The following is a 15,835-nucleotide window of genomic DNA, read 5'->3' as shown; positions in this document are numbered from 1 at the left end:
GGAGGATTGCTTGAGCCCAGGAGTTCGAGGCTGCAGTGAGCTATGCCTGGGAGAGAGTGAGACCCTATCTCTAAAAAAAAGAAAAAAGACAGCCCAGAGTGGTCAGGGCTGTGATGAGGGAAGCAAGGGTACAATGATCAAGCCTGGAATCAGGGAGCCCTAGAGGGCCCTGGGAGTCCAGAGGAAGCAACCACCCCTGCCTAGGGAGGTCAAGAGAGCTTCCTGAGGAAGGGGCTAGCTGAGCTGAAGCATGAAGGATGAATGGAAACAAGCCAGGCAGAATCACAAATACACGCCTCTATTTAAGAGGAAATTTTTCTTTCTGCGCCCCCCCGTAAGTCTCTCCACTTCTGCCTCCAGCCAGAACTCAGCGCCTTCCTGACAGCCTTTTGGAGGGCAGCCCAGAGTCCTAACCCCATCCGACTGGCAGAGGAGTGGGGCTTGGGGCTCAGCTCAGACATGTCCCAGCTGGTTCTATTAAAGAGCTGGCAGATCACCGGGCAGAGCCCAACTTGGGGTTGACAATCCAGAAGCAGAGGCACCTGATAATAGAATCAGTAACACAATAGGTGCCAGTGATCGAAGGCTTACATTCTGCCAGGCCCTGTGGACACCTGAACTTGCACTGAATTCTCAACCCCGTCCCAATATAATTCCCACTAAACAGATGAGAAAATTTAGGCTTAAAAATGAAGTAGTCATTTGAGACCAGCTCGGGCAACATGGCAAAACCCCATCTCGACAAAAAATACAAAAATTAGCCAAGTGTGGTGGCATGCGTCTGTAGTCCCAGCTACTCGGGAGGCTGAGGCAGGAGGATCGTTTGAGCTCAGGAATTAGAGACTGCAATGAGTTATGGTCGCACCACTGCACTCCAGTATGGGTGATAGAGTAGACCCTGCCTCAAAAAAATAAAAAGTAGTAGTCACACAACTGGTAAGGGGTGAACATGAGGCCAGCAGGAAGCCAATGAACTAATGAACTTGCTTTTTTTTTTTTTTTTTTTTTTTTTTTGAGACAAGAGTCTCGCTCTGTCTCCCAGGCTGGAGTGCAATGGCACAATCTCGGCTCGCTGCAACCTCTGCCTCCTGGGTTCAAGCAATTCTCCTGCCTCAGCCTCCTAAGTAGCTGGAATTATAGATGCCCGCCACAACACCCAGCTAATTTTTGTATTTTAAGTAGAGACAGGGTTTCGCCATGTTGGCAAGGATGGTCTCAAACTGACCTCAGGTGATCTGCCCGCCTTGGCCTCCCAAAGTGCTGGGATTACAGGCGTGATCCGCTGCACTTGGCAGTACTTGCTTTATTAATTAAATATATATACATAAGGCTGGGTGCGGTGTTTCATGCCTGTAATCTCAGTGCTTTGGGAGGCCAAGGCAGGTGGATCACCTGAGGTCAGGAGTTCGAGACCAGCCTGGCCAACATGGCGAAACCCTGTCTCTACTAAAAATACAAAAAATTAGCCAGGTGCGATGGCACACGCCTGTAATCTCAGCTATCGGGAGGCTGAAGCAGGAGAATCACTTGAACCCAGGAGGCAAAGGTTGCAGTGAGCCGAGATCGCATCACTGCACTCCAGCCTGGGCGACAGAGCAAGACTCCATCTCAAAAAACAAACAAAAAAGCAATAAGAAAAAAAAAAACATTTATGGAAGAGATGTATCTGGAGCAACCAGAGCAAGAGAGGGCTGAGGATGAGGAGAAAATGGTGTTGGAGCCCAGGGGACAGAGGCTAAATCAGAGGTGAAGAAGAATGCGGGCATTTCGCTCACAAAAAGGAACCACAGTGGAGCCAGCACTCATCACTGAGAAACCAGGAGCAGCCCTTAAGGTCTCCAAAAAGACAACGTCTCAGAGGAGGAAGAGGAAGCCACAGCGATAGGGTCACTTGCTGACATCCTTCCGGATGCGCTATCGCTGCGCAGAAGTAACTTCCACCACTATGTTTTCCTGAGATAAGTCGGGGAGTCTGAGAGGGAGAGAAGGGGGGAGACTGAGAGTCAGAGAGAGGAGAGACTAAGGACGCTAGGTGGGCAGGGCTCTTCACTTGCAGGTGCGCCTGTGTGCTGTGAGTTGCTGGGGGTTGTAGAATGCTTTTGGTGGACAGAGGGAACCAGGTTGCAATGTGAGAACATTTTTATGAATTTCTGGGAAACTGCCTTAAGATCTATTCCAAGAGAGACACCTGGTTCTTCTCACCTAACTTGTTGGGTTTCCTTTTCTCACTCTAAATATTCACTTTAAGGCCGGGCACTGTGGCTCATGTCTGTAATCCTAATGCTTTAGGAGGCTGAAGCAGGAGGATGGCTTGAGCCCAGGAATTCGAGACCAGCCTGGGCAACATAGCAAGATCCTGTTTTGACAAAAAATTTAAAAATTAGCTGGGCATGGTGGTGCATGCCTGTGGTGCCAGTTACTGGGGAGGCTGAGGCAGGAGGATCACTTGAGCTCAGGGGGTCCGAGGCAGCCTGGAAAACAGAGGAAGACCCTGTCTCAAAATAAATAAATATTTACTTTAATACCTAAGGGATGTCAAAAATTGTATAAGCCCCTACAACTCCAATTAGCCCCTCAGGAACACAAATGTTTCTCTTTTCCTTGCTCCACAGCCTTTTCTGGCTCTCCAGTGCTCTCAATGACCCAAACTGAACGGCTGTCTGCAGAGAACTGCATTTCCCATCGACCTTTTCGCTCGATATTTACATTTTAAAAAATGTTTTGTAGCGATGGAGATCTCGCTGTTGCCCAGGCTGGTCTCGAACTCCTGGGCTCAAGCGATCCTCAGCCTTCCAAAGTGCTGAGATTACAGGCGTTAAGCCACTGAGCCTGGCTAAATTAAAAAAAAAAAAAATTGTAGGGATGGGGCGGGGCGAGGGTCACTATGTTGCTCAGGCTAGTCTCGAATCCCTGGGCTGAAGCAATCCTCCCGCCTCGGCCTCCCAAAGTGCTGGAGTTAGGGGCGTGAGCCCCGGCAAGGGGCAGACACTCATTTTCTGTCGTGGCAGACACCGCCTCCTCCTGGGATTGGTCCCGGCCTCGCCCTCCTGCCACTCAGGCCTTGACTCGCTTTACTGCATGAGCCCAGTAGCCCAGTCTCCGCCTCTTACGTAAGGCACCGCCCAGTCGTCCAGGCCTCCGTGAAGGGGGGGGCTGGAGGGGTCGGGGGGGTGGGGGCGAGGCCTTCCCTCAATCCTGACGTCCATTGGCTGTCTCTTCGCCGGCGGGGCGTGGGTACGGGAGCCGGGCGGGCACGCTCCGAACCGCGGCTTAGGTGGCGGCGGCGAAGGATGCACCCGGCAGGCTTGGCGGCGGCGGCTGCGGGGACGCCCCGGCTGCGTAAGTGGCGTACGTGGCCGGCGGAGGAGATCGGGCGGGCGGGGGCGTGGCGGGGCGGCCGCGTCGGTTGGCGAGGTCACTGCAGGTCAGAGGTCACGAGATCAAGGATCTGGAACCCTGAGGTGTGCACAGCGCTGGGATGCCAGGTTCGGGTAGGAGGCCCCTTGGGGGGCGATTCTTTAGGAAATTCCTTTAGAAGAAAACAACTTGGGACTGGATAGCGTGCGATATGCAGAGAAATGCAACTTTCATTCATTTGCAGTTAGCGATCCGCCCTTCCCTGCTCCCCACCCTTCCGTGGCTCCCCAGTACCCGCCTGCTGTCGCCCACACCCTTAGGACAGCTTCGTGGCCCCCCGGGAGCGCAGAGGGCCATGCCTACCGCTCATTTAAGAAGCGAACCTGTATTGTGCTGTTGGCCCCCTTTTCCTGTCTCTTCATCTCCGTGAGTGTGCTGTGTGTTTCATTTATTCATTCAACCTAACTTGTCTCAACTCCCATGTGTCAGGCCCTGTGTTGGGATGGAGATGTTGTGGGAGCCCTGAGGAGGCACATGACCCAGCCTAGGGGTGTCAGTGAAGCTTCCTGGAAGAGGATACTTCTTTTTCTTTTTTTTTTTTTTTTGAGACCTAGTTTTGTTCTTGTTGCCAAGGCTGGAGTGCAATGGCGCGATCTCAGGTCACCGCAACCTCCGCCTCCCGGGTTCAAGCGATTCTCCTGCCTCAGCCTCCCAAGTAGCTGGGATTACAGGCGCAGGCCACCACGCCCGGGGTGGTATAGACGGGGTTTCTCCATGTTGGTCAAGCTGGTCTCAAACTCCCGACCTCAGGTGATCCGCCCGCCTAGGCCTCCCAAAGTGCTGGGATTACAGGCGTGAGCCACCGCACCCGGCATGGAAGAGGATAATTCTGATCATGAAAAGTTACCCAGGAGAAGGAGATTTGTAGTGAGAGGGCAGGCTGGGCGTGCTGGCCTACACCTATAATCTCAGCACTTTGGGAGGTCGAGGTGGGCGAATCACTTGGGGCCAGGAGTTGGAGACCAGCTTGGGTAACAGCAAAATCCTATCTCTAATAAAAGTACACAAAATTAGCCGGGTGTGGTGGCGAGCACCTGTAATCCCGGCTACTTGGGAGTCTGAGGCTTGAGAATCACTTGAACCCAGGAGGCAGAGGTTGCACTGAGGCGAGATTGCACCAGCCTGGGCGACAGAGCAAGACTTCGCCTCAAAAAAAAAAAAAAAAAAAAAAAAAGAGGGTGATCCACCTGCCTTGGCCTCCCAAAGTGCTGGGATCACAGGCATGAGTCACGGTGCCCAGCCAACCAGCCTGGCCAACATGATGAAACCCCATCTCTACTAAAAATGCAAAAAAATTAGGTTGGGCGCAGTGGTTCACACCTATAATCCCAGGATTTTGGGAGGCCGAGGTGGGAGGATCACGAGGTCAGGAGTTCGAGACCAGCCTGGCCAACATGGTGAGACCCCATCTCTACTAAAAATAGAAAATTTAGCTGGGCGTGGTGGTGTGCGCCTGTAGTCCCAGCTACTCAGGAGGCTGAAGCAGAAGAATTGCTTGAACCTGGGAGGTGGAGGGTGCAGTGGGCCGAGATTTCACCACTGCACTCCAGCCTGGGTGACAGAGTGAGACTCCATCTCAAAAAAAAAAAAAAAAAAAATTAGCCGGGCGTGGTGGCGCGCACCTGTAATTCCAGCTACTCGGGCGGCTGAGGCAGGAGAATCGCTTGAACCCAGGATGCGGAGGTTGCAGTGAGCCAAGATTGCGCCATTGCACTCCAGCCTAGGCAACGAGCGAAACAACGCCTCAAGAAAAGAAAAAAAAGAGAGAGAGAAGGAAAGGCATTGGAGGCCTGTGCCAAGTAAACAAGTAGACATATGAATATATATTCAGAAATTATTGTGAGTGCTCAGAAGAGAAAAAGAAAGCACCACATGTTATGAGAAGGAACCAGACGAGGTTAGTGCATTACAGGGAGGAGTGAGGAAGGTCTCTGCAAAGGCAGGGGCCTCTGTGTGATATTGGGAGGTGCTGATGGAGGGAGGTTGTTCCAGGATGAAAGCTCTGCATATTCAAAAGCCAGTGGGGGCAAGGAGCTTGGCAGAGTCGGGGCCTGAAAGGCCATGTGGCTGGCTGGTGCATGGGATCCCCAGGAGAGGTTGCAAACCATGGTGGTTGGCAGGAGTGGGTCATGCAGGGCCTAGCAGGCCTTTGGATTTTTTTCAGAGCACAGTGAATAGTGATCTTAGGCAGAGGATGACGTGGTCTTATTTGTATTTAAAAAGATCACTCTGGGCCGGGTTAGGTGGCTCACGCCTGTAATCCCAGCACTTTGGGAGGCCGAGGCGGGCGGATCATGAGGTCAGGAGATCAAGCCCATCCTGGCTAACACGGTGAAACCCCGTCTCTACTAAAAATACAAAAAAATTAGCCGGGCGTGGTGGTGGGCGTCTGTAGTCCCAGCTACTTGGGAGGCTGAAGCAAGAGAATGGCGTGAACCCGGGAGGCGGAGCTTGCAGTGAGCTGAGATCACGCCACTGCACTCCAGCCTGGGTGACAGTGAGACTCCGTCTCAAAAAAAAAAAAAAAAGATCACTCTGGGTCAGGCACTGGTGGCTCACGCCTGTAATCCCAGCACTTTGGGAGGCCAAGGCAGGCAGATCACTTGAGCTCAGGAGTTCGAGACCAGCCTGCCCAAAATGGTGAAACCCCATCTCTACTAAAAATACAAAAATTACCTGGGCTTGGTGGCGTGCGCCTATAATCCTAGCTACACAGGAGGCTGAGGCAGGAGAACTGCTTGAACCCGGGAGGTGGAGGTTGTGGTGAGCCGAGATCGCACCATTGCACTCCAGCCTGGGTGACAAGAGCGAGAATCTGTCTAAAAAAAAAAGAAGAAGAAGTAGGGGAAAGAAAAGGGAAGTGGGGCTTGCAGAGAGGCTGGGGCCAGTGCTGCTTGCCTTGGAATTGAGGAGACCTGGGTCCGTCTTCAGGCTTCGAATAATTGAGAGGAAGGGTTCGAGGCTAGTAGCTGATCAGGAGTGACATGGATGGACTGCTTTCTGTGGGGCCAAGGAGTTTATGAGTGTCACAACAGCTCTGCAAGGTGGGACAGTTAACTCCGTTGTGTAGATGAGAACATCCAGGTGCAGAGAAAGTCATGACGTGGATAATTCGATTCCTCTCCCCATTCCCACTGTCATCTGATCACTCATTCCCTGTGCCTGCAATAGTGGGTGGCACATAGTAGGATCTCAGCAGATATTTGCAGGGTAGCATTGGTTATTGATTAGGAACAGAGGCCCTGGAGGCAGAGTGCTGGGTTCAAATCCCGCCCTCCCTATTTTCTCCATCTCAGTAGAGAGCACTCCCATTTGCCTCATTACTCAAACCAGGATCTATAGAGACAGTATTGGCTCTTCCCACTTCTTTTTTTTTTAAAGAGGGCCTTGCTGTGTCGCCCAGGCTGGAGTGCAGTGGCATGATCTTGGCACTGCAGCCTTGACATCCCAGGTTCAAGCAGTCCTCTCACCTCAGCCTCTTGAATAGCTGGGACTACAGGTGCACGCCACCATGCCCTGCTATTTTATATTTTGTAGAGATGGGGTTTCACTATGTTGGCCAGGCTGGTCTTGAACTGAGTTCAGGTGATCTGCCTGTCTCAGCCTCGCAAAGTGCTGGGATTATAGACGTGAGACACCATGCCCAGCCTCTTACCACGTTTTTTGTTTTGTTTTGTTTTGTTTTTTTGAGATGGAGTCTCGCTCTGTAGCCCAGGCTGGAGTGCAGTGGCGCGATCTTGGCTCACTGCAACCTCCACCTCCCCGGTCCCGGTTCAAGCAATTCTCCTGCCTCAGCCTCCGGAGTAGCTGGGATTACAGGCACGCACCACCATGCCCAGCTCATTTTTGTATTTTTAGTAGAGATGGGGTTTCACCATGTTGGCCAGGCTGGTCTTGAATTTCTGACCTGGTGATCCACCTGCCTTGGCCTCCCAAAATGCTGGGATTACAGGCGTAAGCCACTGCGCCTGGCCTCTTCCCACTTCTTAACACACCTCCTCTGAGCACCCCTCAGCAAGTCCTGTCCCTCCTAGCTCTGAAACTGATCCAGAAATAACCCATTCCTCTTTTACACCCCCAGTCCTGTCTGCCATGGTCTCCCACCTGGATCACCCCAGCAGCCTCTCTCCCTTCCCTGCCCACCCCTCATCTGTTCCCCACGTGAGGCCACAGGGACCTTTTAAAAACTTTTGAAACCTGGCTCTCATACTATGACTTTGGGCAAAGGCCTGAGCCTCTTTAGGGCTTGCTTTTCTCATATGTAAAATGGGGATGATGATAGCATTGGCAGCTGGCAGAAACAGGGTGGTTGTGAAGATGAGATGAGTTCATCCACAGGATTATTGTAATATTTATCAGGCACAGCAGGGCTGGACTCCTGCTCTGCCACTCACTCAGTTTGGCCCTTTGCACAAGTCATTTTAGCTGTCTGGGCCTTGGTTTCCACACCTGTAAATTGGGAGTGGTCATTTATTCTGTTTTTTGTTTTTTGTTTTTTTTTTTTGAGACAGGGTCTCACTGTGTTGCCCAGGCTGGAGTGCAGTGGTGCAGTCTCGGCTCACTGCAACCTTTGTCTCCCAGGCTGAAGCGATCCTCCCACCTTGGCCTCCCGAGTAGCTGGGACCATAGGCGTGAACCACCACACCTAGCTAATCTTTCTATATTTTGTAGAGATGGGGTCTCGCCATGTTGCCCAGGCTGCCTTTATTCATTGATCAGGTTTTTATCAAGTGCCTACTCTAACCCTGTGCAAGGGGCTGGGGACTCAGCTGTGAACGAGATCAAGATCCCCACCTTGGGGGACTCACAGTTGAGTGGGGGAGACAGTGAACAAAATAAGACAGCCAGCATGTCAGCTAGTGCCGAGTTCTATGGATATCAGTGAAGCAGGGCAGGGGGTGGGGAGTGCCACCAAGGGAGGTACGGTTGTAGACAGGATGGCTGGGGAAGGCCTCACTGAACAAAGCCCTTGAGGAGGAGAGGAGGGAGCTCTGAGGATGTTGGGGGAAGAGCGTTCCAAGCAGAGGCACAGCTGGTGCAGCGGCCTTGAGGCAGGCACCTTCCTGGTGCATTCAGTGAGCATTGGGAGGCGCAGGTGGCTGGAGCCAAGTCATTGAGGGGGAGCATAGGAGATATGGACAGCGGCCTTGTGTAAAAGGCTTGGTACAGGATTTTGTGCCCAATAGCCCCCCCTTCCTCTCGCACATAGTAGCTTTTGAGATAATCATCATCATTGATATCTGGATGGATGGATGATAAGTGGATGGGTGGGTGGGTGAATGGATGGTTAGATGGATGGATGATGATGGATGGATGGATGATAGATGGGTGGATAGATGAATGAGTTGGTGGATGGATAGATAGCTTGGTGAGTGGATGGATGGATGGATAGATGGAAAGATAAATGCATCAGTGGATGGATAGTTGGCTAGATAGGTGGGTGGATGGGTGGATGGATGGGTGGGTGGGTGGATGGATGAATGGGTAGGTGGATGGATGGATGGGTGGGTGGGTGGGTGGATGCATCATTAGATGGATAGTTGGCTAGATGGGTGGTGGATGGATGGATGGTTGGATAGGTGGATGGATGGATGGATGGATGGGTGGATGGATGAATGGATGGATTGATGGGTGGGTGGGTAGATGGATAGATGGATAGATGGGTGGGTGGATGGATGAATGGATGGATTGATGGGTGGGAGGGTGGATGGATGGATGGGTGGATGGATGAATGGATGGACAGATGAATGCATCAGTGGATGGATAGTTGGCTAGATGGGTGGGTGGATGGATGGCTGGATGGATGGATGGATGAATGGATGGATGGATGGATGGTTAGATGGATAGATGGATGGATGGGTGGGTGAGTGGGAGGGTGGGTAGATGGATAGGTGGATGGATGGGTGGGTAGATGAATGGATGCATAGATGAATGTATCAGTGGATGGATAGTTGGCTAGATGGGTGGGTTGGTGGATGAATGGCAGAGCTTGCACCTGCCAGTCCATCTGACATCAAAGCCAGTGTCTCTAATGGTGACACCACCCTCCTCTGCAGCAGGAGGCAGAGCTGTGGGATGAATGAGGTTCGCCAGGTCTCCCTTACCTATCCTGGGTCCCCAGCTCCTTCTCACTCTCTTCCCTTGCAGCCTCGAAGCGGAGGATCCCTGTGTCCCAGCCGGGCATGGCCGACCCCCACCAGCTTTTCGATGACACAAGTTCAGCCCAGAGCCGGGGCTATGGGGCCCAGCGGGCACCTGGTGGCCTGAGTTATCCTGCAGCCTCTCCCACGCCCCATGCAGCCTTCCTGGCTGACCCGGTGTCCAACATGGCCATGGCCTATGGGAGCAGCCTGGCCGCGCAGGGCAAGGAGCTGGTGGATAAGAACGTGAGTGGGCGGGGCTGGTGGGAGTGGGGGGATGCACGGGGCCACAGGGCTTCAGACTTGAGCTCTGCCTCCCCAGATCGACCGCTTCATCCCCATCACCAAGCTCAAGTATTACTTTGCTGTGGACACCATGTATGTGGGCAGAAAGCTGGGCCTGCTGTTCTTCCCCTACCTACACCAGGTCAGCACCCCCAGGGGAATGTGGGTCTGCAGTGGGCCTGTGGGGGGCTCAGGGGTGGGGGCAGGTGCATGGTGGAGCCGGGAGATTCGCCTCGAGGGAGGAGGGCCTGTAGCAGGGTGGGAGGGGCCTGGCTCTGAGGGTCCTGCCCGTCTCCCCATCCCCGCAGGACTGGGAAGTGCAGTACCAACAGGACACCCCGGTGGCCCCCCGCTTTGACGTCAATGCCCCGGACCTCTACATTCCAGGTTTCACCCTCCCCCTACCCTGCACCCTCCTCTCTCTTCCGGGCCTATATGGAGCGGGTGTGTGGGTGCCTGGAGGCCCAGGGCAGTTCTTCCTCTGGTGACCAGTGTCTGTGTGTCTGTCTCCCACAGCAATGGCTTTCATCACCTACGTTTTGGTGGCTGGTCTTGCGCTGGGGACCCAGGATAGGTAAGGGAGGCCTGGGGCAGGCCGAATAAGGTGGGGTTTGGGAGGCCCATGGTTGGTCAGGAAGGTCTCAGTTCCAAGGTCTCAGTTCCCCTTTCAGGACAGCCCCACTTTGCTCCCAGTTGGCCCAAGATACAGCCCTCAGGGTCACTGTCAGCATCACCCTCGCCTCTTCCCTGTCCTTCCTACCCACATGCATTGCGTCACCATCCCCTGTGCTGGGTGACCCTTCTCCATCCACCCTTCCTCTTGGCCTCTACTACCAGACCCATCCTCATCCTCCCTCTGTCATCACCAGCTCCCCACTGCACCCCTACTCCAGCAGCAGCCAGGATGGTCCTGTCTGAGGTGCGGGCCTGGCCCACCCTGCCCCGCCCTGCTATCCATGGCTCCCAATCAAGCCCCAGCTCCTCAGCCTGGCACTGCCCCTCCCGCTGCACGCTCCGGTCTATTCCTTTCCTTGGGAGGGCTGGCACTGTCTCCTGGGGCCTTGTCACATCAACTCCCCTCTGCCCAGGAGCGTGTTCCCCTCCACTACTGCCGAGTACCTGCACATCCCTGCTGGCTCCATTCCAGTATCACCTCCTCCGGGAAGCCTTCCTGCCCCCCAGGCTAGATCAGGCCCCTCCTCTTGCTCACATCGCCCTGTTCTTTTCCTTTATGGCACTGAACACATCTGTCATTAACTAACTGGTGAGGCCCTGGGGATGTGGCAGAGGCCAAGGGCTTTGTCCCTGACCAGCTCCTTCCTGCAGGCTTCAGCTCGGTGTCCCCTCTCCTGGGAAGCCCTCTCTGACACCTGTCTCCTGACTGTCAGCACAGCCCCCTGTGACTCCAGCCCTGCCTGCTCTGGGTGTCACTGTCTAGGGATGGGTCTGCCATCCTCTCTGGATGGGATTTCCGTGGGAATAGGATAGCGCGCACATCCATCTTGGTCACTGCCAGGTGTCCAGCCCTACCCAACACAGAGCTGTCCCCAGATGGGTGCTGGGGGTGGGGGGTCTGAACCAGCCAACCAAGTGGCGGGGCTTTGTGCCTGCAGGTTCTCCCCAGACCTCCTGGGGCTGCAAGCGAGCTCAGCCCTGGCCTGGCTGACCCTGGAGGTGCTGGCCATCCTGCTCAGCCTCTATCTGGTCACTGTCAACACCGACCTCACCACCATCGACCTGGTGGCCTTCTTGGGCTACAAATATGTCGGGTGAGTACCCCCGCCCTTCACGCCAGCCCCAGCCCTTGGGCCTTGTCCTCACACAGCCTCCTCTCCCTCCCCCAGGATGATTGGCGGGGTCCTCATGGGCCTGCTCTTCGGGAAGATTGGCTACTACCTGGTGCTGGGCTGGTGCTGCGTAGCCATCTTTGTGTTCATGGTGAGCTGGGCTCGGGGCTGGTGAGGCTGAGGCACAGGTGCCCCGGAGGCATCCAGGCATCCAAGCAGAGGATGTCAGGTGTGGGGTTCAGACCAGAGACACATTGCTGAACTGAGGAGCCCTGGAGTGGCTGCCCGGCCTGGGGGGTCAGGAGGGCTTCCTGGAAGAGGGGGTATCCTGAGCCCTGGAAGAGGAGACACCAGCCAGGCTGCTAGAGGCTGGGGATCCCCAGCACACAGGCTCCAGGCTGGGCTCTCACTCTCATTCCACTCTCCTTACATGGGAGCCTTCCTGCCAGAATTTCCCTGGAAGGAGATTCTCTAGAGCCCTTCCCACTGGAGTCAGGGGTGCTGGTGAAGAGCACTGGGGTCTGCAGGCTGGGTGGACCCCAAGCTTAGTTGGATCCTGGGCAAATCACTTCCTTTCTTTAAATTCAGTTTCCCCTTTTGCCGGGCGCGGTGGCTCATGCTTGTAATCCCAGCACTTTGGGAGGCCGAGGCGGTCGGATCACGAGGTCAGGAGATCAAGACCATCCTGGCTAACACGGTGAAACCCCATCTCTACTAAAAATACAAAAAATTAGCTGGGTGTGGTGGTGTGTGCCTGTAGTCCCAGCTACTCAGGAGGCTGAGGCAGGAGAATCGCTTGAACCCAGGAGGTGGAGGTTGCAGTGAGCCGAGATCGCACACCTGCGCTCCAGCCTGGGTGACAGAGCGAGACTCCGTCTCAAAAAAAAATAAAAATAAAAAATAAACTCAGTTTCCCCTTTTGTAAAATAGGATGATGATACTTGCACCTCAAGGTGCTGGGAGGATTCACTGTGAGCATGTGAGAAGCAGAGGGCAGACTGTGGTGGCTGGTGGGCCAGGGCAGAGCCTTGGATAAACTTTGACTTAAGTCTCATCATTTAAAAGTTTAGGCCAAGCACGTGACTCACATCTGTGATCCCAGCACTTTGGCAGGCTGAGGCAGGAGGATCACTGGAGGCCAGGAGCTTGATACCAGCCTGGACAACATAGCAAGACCCCATCTCTAAAAAAATATAAAAATTAGCCAGGCATAGCAGTGTGCACCTGTAGTCCCAGCTACTCAGGAGGCTGAGGTGGGAGGATCACTTGAGTCTGGGAGGTTGAGGCTGCAGTAAGCTGAGGTCACGCCACTGCAGTCAAGCCTGGCGGACAGGGTGAGACCCTGACTTTTTTTTTTTTTTTTTTTTTTTTTTTGTGAGACAGAGTCTCGCTCTGTCGGGAAGCTGGAGTGCAGTGGCGGGATCTTGGCTCACTGCAACCTCCGCCTCTTGGGTTCAGGAGCAAGTCTCCTGCCTCAGCCTCCTGAGTAGCAGGGACTACAGGCACTCACCACCACGCCCAGCTAATTTTTGTATTTTTAGTAGAGACGGGGTTTCATCGTGTTGGCCAGGATGGTCTCAATCTCCTGACCTCGTGATCCGCCCGCCTTGGCTTCCCAAAGTGCTGGGATTACAGGCGTGAGCCAACGCACCAGGCCAGAGACCCTGTCCTTTAATAAAAATAAAGATAGCATTTCTGGCGTGTCTTCAGAAATTGCCGTGTGGCCAGCATAAGGGGGGGCAGCATCCTGGGCCACGTCTCCCACCCCCTCAGGCCGGGTGTCCACCGGGAAGTCCCCCTTCACCCGCTCCAAGACCTTGCCTGGCATTTGAGTATGGAACCTTCTCAGATTTTGCCCACAGGGCCCGGGGAGAAGCAAATCCTCACCATGTTAGGAGGTTTGGGGAAACTGAGGCCCCGGGAGCAGAAACCTGAGGCTGCAGAGGGCCAGGGACTTGTCCCCAGCTGCCTGGGGCTTCTAGGCAGAGGCTGGAAGTATGTCCGGGCTCTCACTCTGGCCCAGAGGGCTCAAGGGTAAATCCCTTGGTTCCTCTCTCTCTTTCCCACCCAGATCCGGACGCTGCGGCTGAAGATCTTGGCAGACGCAGCAGCTGAGGGGGTCCCGGTGCGTGGGGCCCGGAACCAGCTGCGCATGTACCTGACCATGGCGGTGGCGGCGGCGCAGCCTATGCTCATGTACTGGCTCACCTTCCACCTGGTGCGGTGAGCGCGCCCGCTGAACCTCCCGCTGCTGCTGCTGCTGCTGGGGGCCACTGTGGCCGCCGAACTCATCTCCTGCCTGCAGGCCCCAAGGTCCACCCTGTCTGGCCACAGGCACCGCCTCCATCCCATGTCCCGCCCAGCCCCGCCCCCAACCCAAGGTGCTGAGAGATCTCCAGCTGCACAGGCCACCGCCCCAGGGCGTGGCCGCTGTTACAGAAACAATAAACCCTGATGGGCATGGCGTGGACAGCCTCTCCTTGGCCTCGCGCACGAATGGGCGGGCCCAGCGCTGGGCAGGGGGCAGGGAGCTGGGGACGGGCCAGAGTAGGCACCACGCTGACCAGTCGCAGAAGGCAGAGAGGAAGGTTTAATGAGCCCTGTCCAGGGCCCTTCAGTGGGGAGCCTCCTTCTTCTTGCCCTTCTCCTTCTTGCCCTTCTCCTTCTTCTTCACTTTGGGCTTCTTGGCCTTGCCCGGGATGCTCTCGTGCTGCTTGGAGCCAGCAGCGTGGGACTGTGGGGCCGAGGGCAGGGATGGGAGAGAAGAGATGGTTCTGGGCTGGAAGCGAGACAGGGGGACCACTCCCCGCACCCTCCCCGCCAGCCCCAGTGCGGGGACGCCTCTCTGGGGTGCAGGGCACGTGCTTGGGGACGCTGGCGAGAGCCCCTTACCTTCACATCCGTGTCCGAATCGCTGGAGCTGCTGCTGGAGTCGGAAGAGCTGTGGTGTCCTTGCTGGATGGAGGTGCGGCAGTGAGGCGGCGCCCCTTACCCAGCCCCCTGAAGTTGGAGGCCTAAGGCAGGACCCTGGGGTCAGGGGCAACCCCAGCCTTCCCGCCCCTCCGCAGCCGGTGATGAGGCGACTTACCTTTGGACCCGGACCTGCCCCTGCCTCCGACCGGCCCTGAACTTTGTGGGGACTGAGCTTGGGATCTCCCCCGTGGCCCGCCCCCACACCGGGCTTCTGGGAGGTGGGCTCCAGGGCTGTGGAGAGAAGTTGGGTGGTTGGTGCAGGCAGCTTCTGGGCTTGAGTCCGGCCCCCTGCACCTCCAGTCCACACTCCCCAGGAGCTCACCTGCTCCCAGGTCGAACTCCATGGCGGTAAGAGAAGTTGGGTCCTAAGGCCAAGGGCGCCTGGGCCCTGCAGAGGAGCGGAGCAGGGGGAGGAGCGCTGAGACCTGCCCGTTGGAGGAATGCTGAGACGCCCCACCCAACCTCTGTCCTGGTCCTCAGCCCTGACTCATTGCCCGGCACCACCCAGGATTTCCTCTGTGAGAAGTGGGGGAGATGGACAGGTGACTGCTTCCGCCAGCCTTGGTGCCTCAGGGGAGGCCGACTGAGGGGGGCTCTGTGGATGGCATTCGGGGAGCTACAGGTTTCCCCCAAAAGCTCAGATGCTCGTTCTTGAAGAGGGAGGTGCTGCCCCTGCCTTCCTGCGTACCGCGACAATACAGCTTCCTCCGCGGCGCTTTAACACGCAGGGCGCTGCTGCCAGGGGCGTCCCGTGTTCTAACTCGCTCCCACAGCCCCTCCGGCTTGGTGAGCAGCGTCTGAGGGGTGAGGGGCATAGACTTGGAGCCAGCCTGCTGCACTAGATGCCAGCTGTGTCACTTAGCAGCAAGGTGACCTCAGCAAAGTTGTTTTACCTCTGTGCCTCAGTTTCCTCATCTGTAAATAACAGCTACCCATGGGATTGATGTGAAAGTCAGAGGAGTTAATTTCCTAGAATGGTGTCTGGCATGAAGTACTGATAATGTGTTGGTTTTTTAAAAAATAAAAGGTAGGTGTTTTAGGCCAGTCATGGTGGCTCACGCCTGTAATCCCAGCTGCTCCGGAGGCTGAGGCACGAGAATCACTTGAACCTGGGAGGCAGAGGTTTCGGTGAGCCAAGATCACACCACTGCACTCCAGCCTGGGCGACACAGTGAGACTCCGTCTCAACAAAGAAAAAAATATATAGATATAAAAGATAAGTGTCAGGCCGGG

The 15,835-nt window shown here is 55.3% G+C and overlaps 2 protein-coding genes across 10 annotated transcripts in view, besides 5 other annotated features; one reads left to right on the top strand and one right to left on the bottom strand.

Moving 5' to 3' along the window:
• Positions 1-15,650, top strand: part of YIF1B (Yip1 interacting factor homolog B, membrane trafficking protein) — an 18,330-nt gene extending 2,680 nt beyond the window's left edge. The window contains exons 1-9 of one of the 8 annotated variants that reach the window (NM_001145463.2): positions 3,261-3,339; positions 9,565-9,803; positions 9,880-9,984; positions 10,151-10,229; positions 10,359-10,416; positions 11,456-11,611; positions 11,687-11,780; positions 12,218-12,294; positions 13,701-15,650. In NM_001145463.2, the coding sequence (NP_001138935.1) occupies positions 3,291-3,339; positions 9,565-9,803; positions 9,880-9,984; positions 10,151-10,229; positions 10,359-10,416; positions 11,456-11,611; positions 11,687-11,780; positions 12,218-12,294; positions 13,701-13,719 (876 nt within the window). In that variant the 5' untranslated portion in view covers positions 3,261-3,290 and the 3' untranslated portion in view covers positions 13,720-15,650. Of the gene's footprint in view, positions 1-1,624; positions 2,057-3,260; positions 3,349-3,427; positions 3,492-9,564; positions 9,804-9,879; positions 9,985-10,150; positions 10,230-10,358; positions 10,417-11,455; positions 11,612-11,686; positions 11,781-12,217; positions 12,295-13,700 lie in introns of those variants that run through there. The other 7 variants (XM_047439647.1, NM_001039673.3, NM_001039672.3 and 4 more) reach the window with 7 other exon arrangements.
• Positions 2,937-3,426: a silencer, noted in NCBI's record as "silent region_10566". NCBI's record gives its function as "represses an Ori minimal core promoter by ATAC-STARR-seq in GM12878 lymphoblastoid cells {active_cell/tissue: GM12878}" and the evidence as "EXISTENCE:reporter gene assay evidence [ECO:0000049][PMID:35858748]".
• Positions 11,495-11,664: a silencer, noted in NCBI's record as "fragment chr19:38798184-38798353 (GRCh37/hg19 assembly coordinates)". NCBI's record gives its function as "represses an EF-1alpha promoter that drives an FKBP-Casp9 reporter gene in an ReSE screen in phorbol 12-myristate 13-acetate-treated (for megakaryocytic differentiation) K562 erythroleukemia cells {active_cell/tissue: K562(+PMA)}" and the evidence as "EXISTENCE:reporter gene assay evidence [ECO:0000049][PMID:32094911]".
• Positions 13,622-14,359: an enhancer, noted in NCBI's record as "H3K27ac-H3K4me1 hESC enhancer chr19:38795489-38796226 (GRCh37/hg19 assembly coordinates)". NCBI's record gives its function as "activates a minimal SCP1, AML or CMV promoter by ChIP-STARR-seq in naive H9 embryonic stem cells {active_cell/tissue: H9 hESC(naive)}" and the evidence as "EXISTENCE:reporter gene assay evidence [ECO:0000049][PMID:30033119]".
• C19orf33 (chromosome 19 open reading frame 33) lies at positions 14,202-14,957 on the bottom strand. Of its 2 annotated transcripts, none has more exons than NM_001317801.2 (4): positions 14,925-14,957; positions 14,718-14,833; positions 14,522-14,643; positions 14,202-14,363 (listed from the first exon to the last, which is right to left on the bottom strand). In NM_001317801.2, exons 1-3 carry the CDS (start codon positions 14,944-14,946, stop codon positions 14,524-14,526), a joined length of 258 nt encoding a protein of 85 aa, NP_001304730.1. In that variant the 5' UTR covers positions 14,947-14,957; the 3' UTR covers positions 14,202-14,363; positions 14,522-14,523. The 2 variants fall into 2 exon arrangements, with proteins under 2 accessions (NP_001304730.1, NP_277055.1); NM_033520.3 differs by having other exon boundaries at positions 14,522-14,584.
• Positions 14,360-15,097: an enhancer, noted in NCBI's record as "H3K27ac-H3K4me1 hESC enhancer chr19:38794751-38795488 (GRCh37/hg19 assembly coordinates)". NCBI's record gives its function as "activates a minimal SCP1, AML or CMV promoter by ChIP-STARR-seq in naive H9 embryonic stem cells {active_cell/tissue: H9 hESC(naive)}" and the evidence as "EXISTENCE:reporter gene assay evidence [ECO:0000049][PMID:30033119]".
• Positions 15,098-15,835: an enhancer, noted in NCBI's record as "H3K27ac-H3K4me1 hESC enhancer chr19:38794013-38794750 (GRCh37/hg19 assembly coordinates)". NCBI's record gives its function as "activates a minimal SCP1, AML or CMV promoter by ChIP-STARR-seq in primed H9 embryonic stem cells {active_cell/tissue: H9 hESC(primed)}" and the evidence as "EXISTENCE:reporter gene assay evidence [ECO:0000049][PMID:30033119]".

Source organism: Homo sapiens, chromosome 19 (genome assembly GCF_000001405.40).
Source record: "Homo sapiens chromosome 19, GRCh38.p14 Primary Assembly".
NCBI classification, from domain to species: domain Eukaryota; kingdom Metazoa; phylum Chordata; class Mammalia; order Primates; family Hominidae; genus Homo; species Homo sapiens.
This window is presented reverse-complemented; position numbering and strand designations above follow the sequence as displayed.

Bases quoted from the DNA above. Each gene is read 5' to 3' on its own strand.
- C19orf33 (NM_033520.3), bottom strand. From the start codon at position 14,946: ATGGAGTTCGACCTGGGAGCAG. The intron at 14,834-14,924 runs GTGAGCTCCTGG...TTCTCTCCACAG, and splicing joins GGAGTTCGACCTGGGAGCAG to CCCTGGAGCCCACCTCCCAG. The intron at 14,364-14,521 runs GTAAGGGGCTCT...TCGGCCCCACAG, and splicing joins ATTCGGACACGGATGTGAAG to TCCCACGCTGCTGGCTCCAA.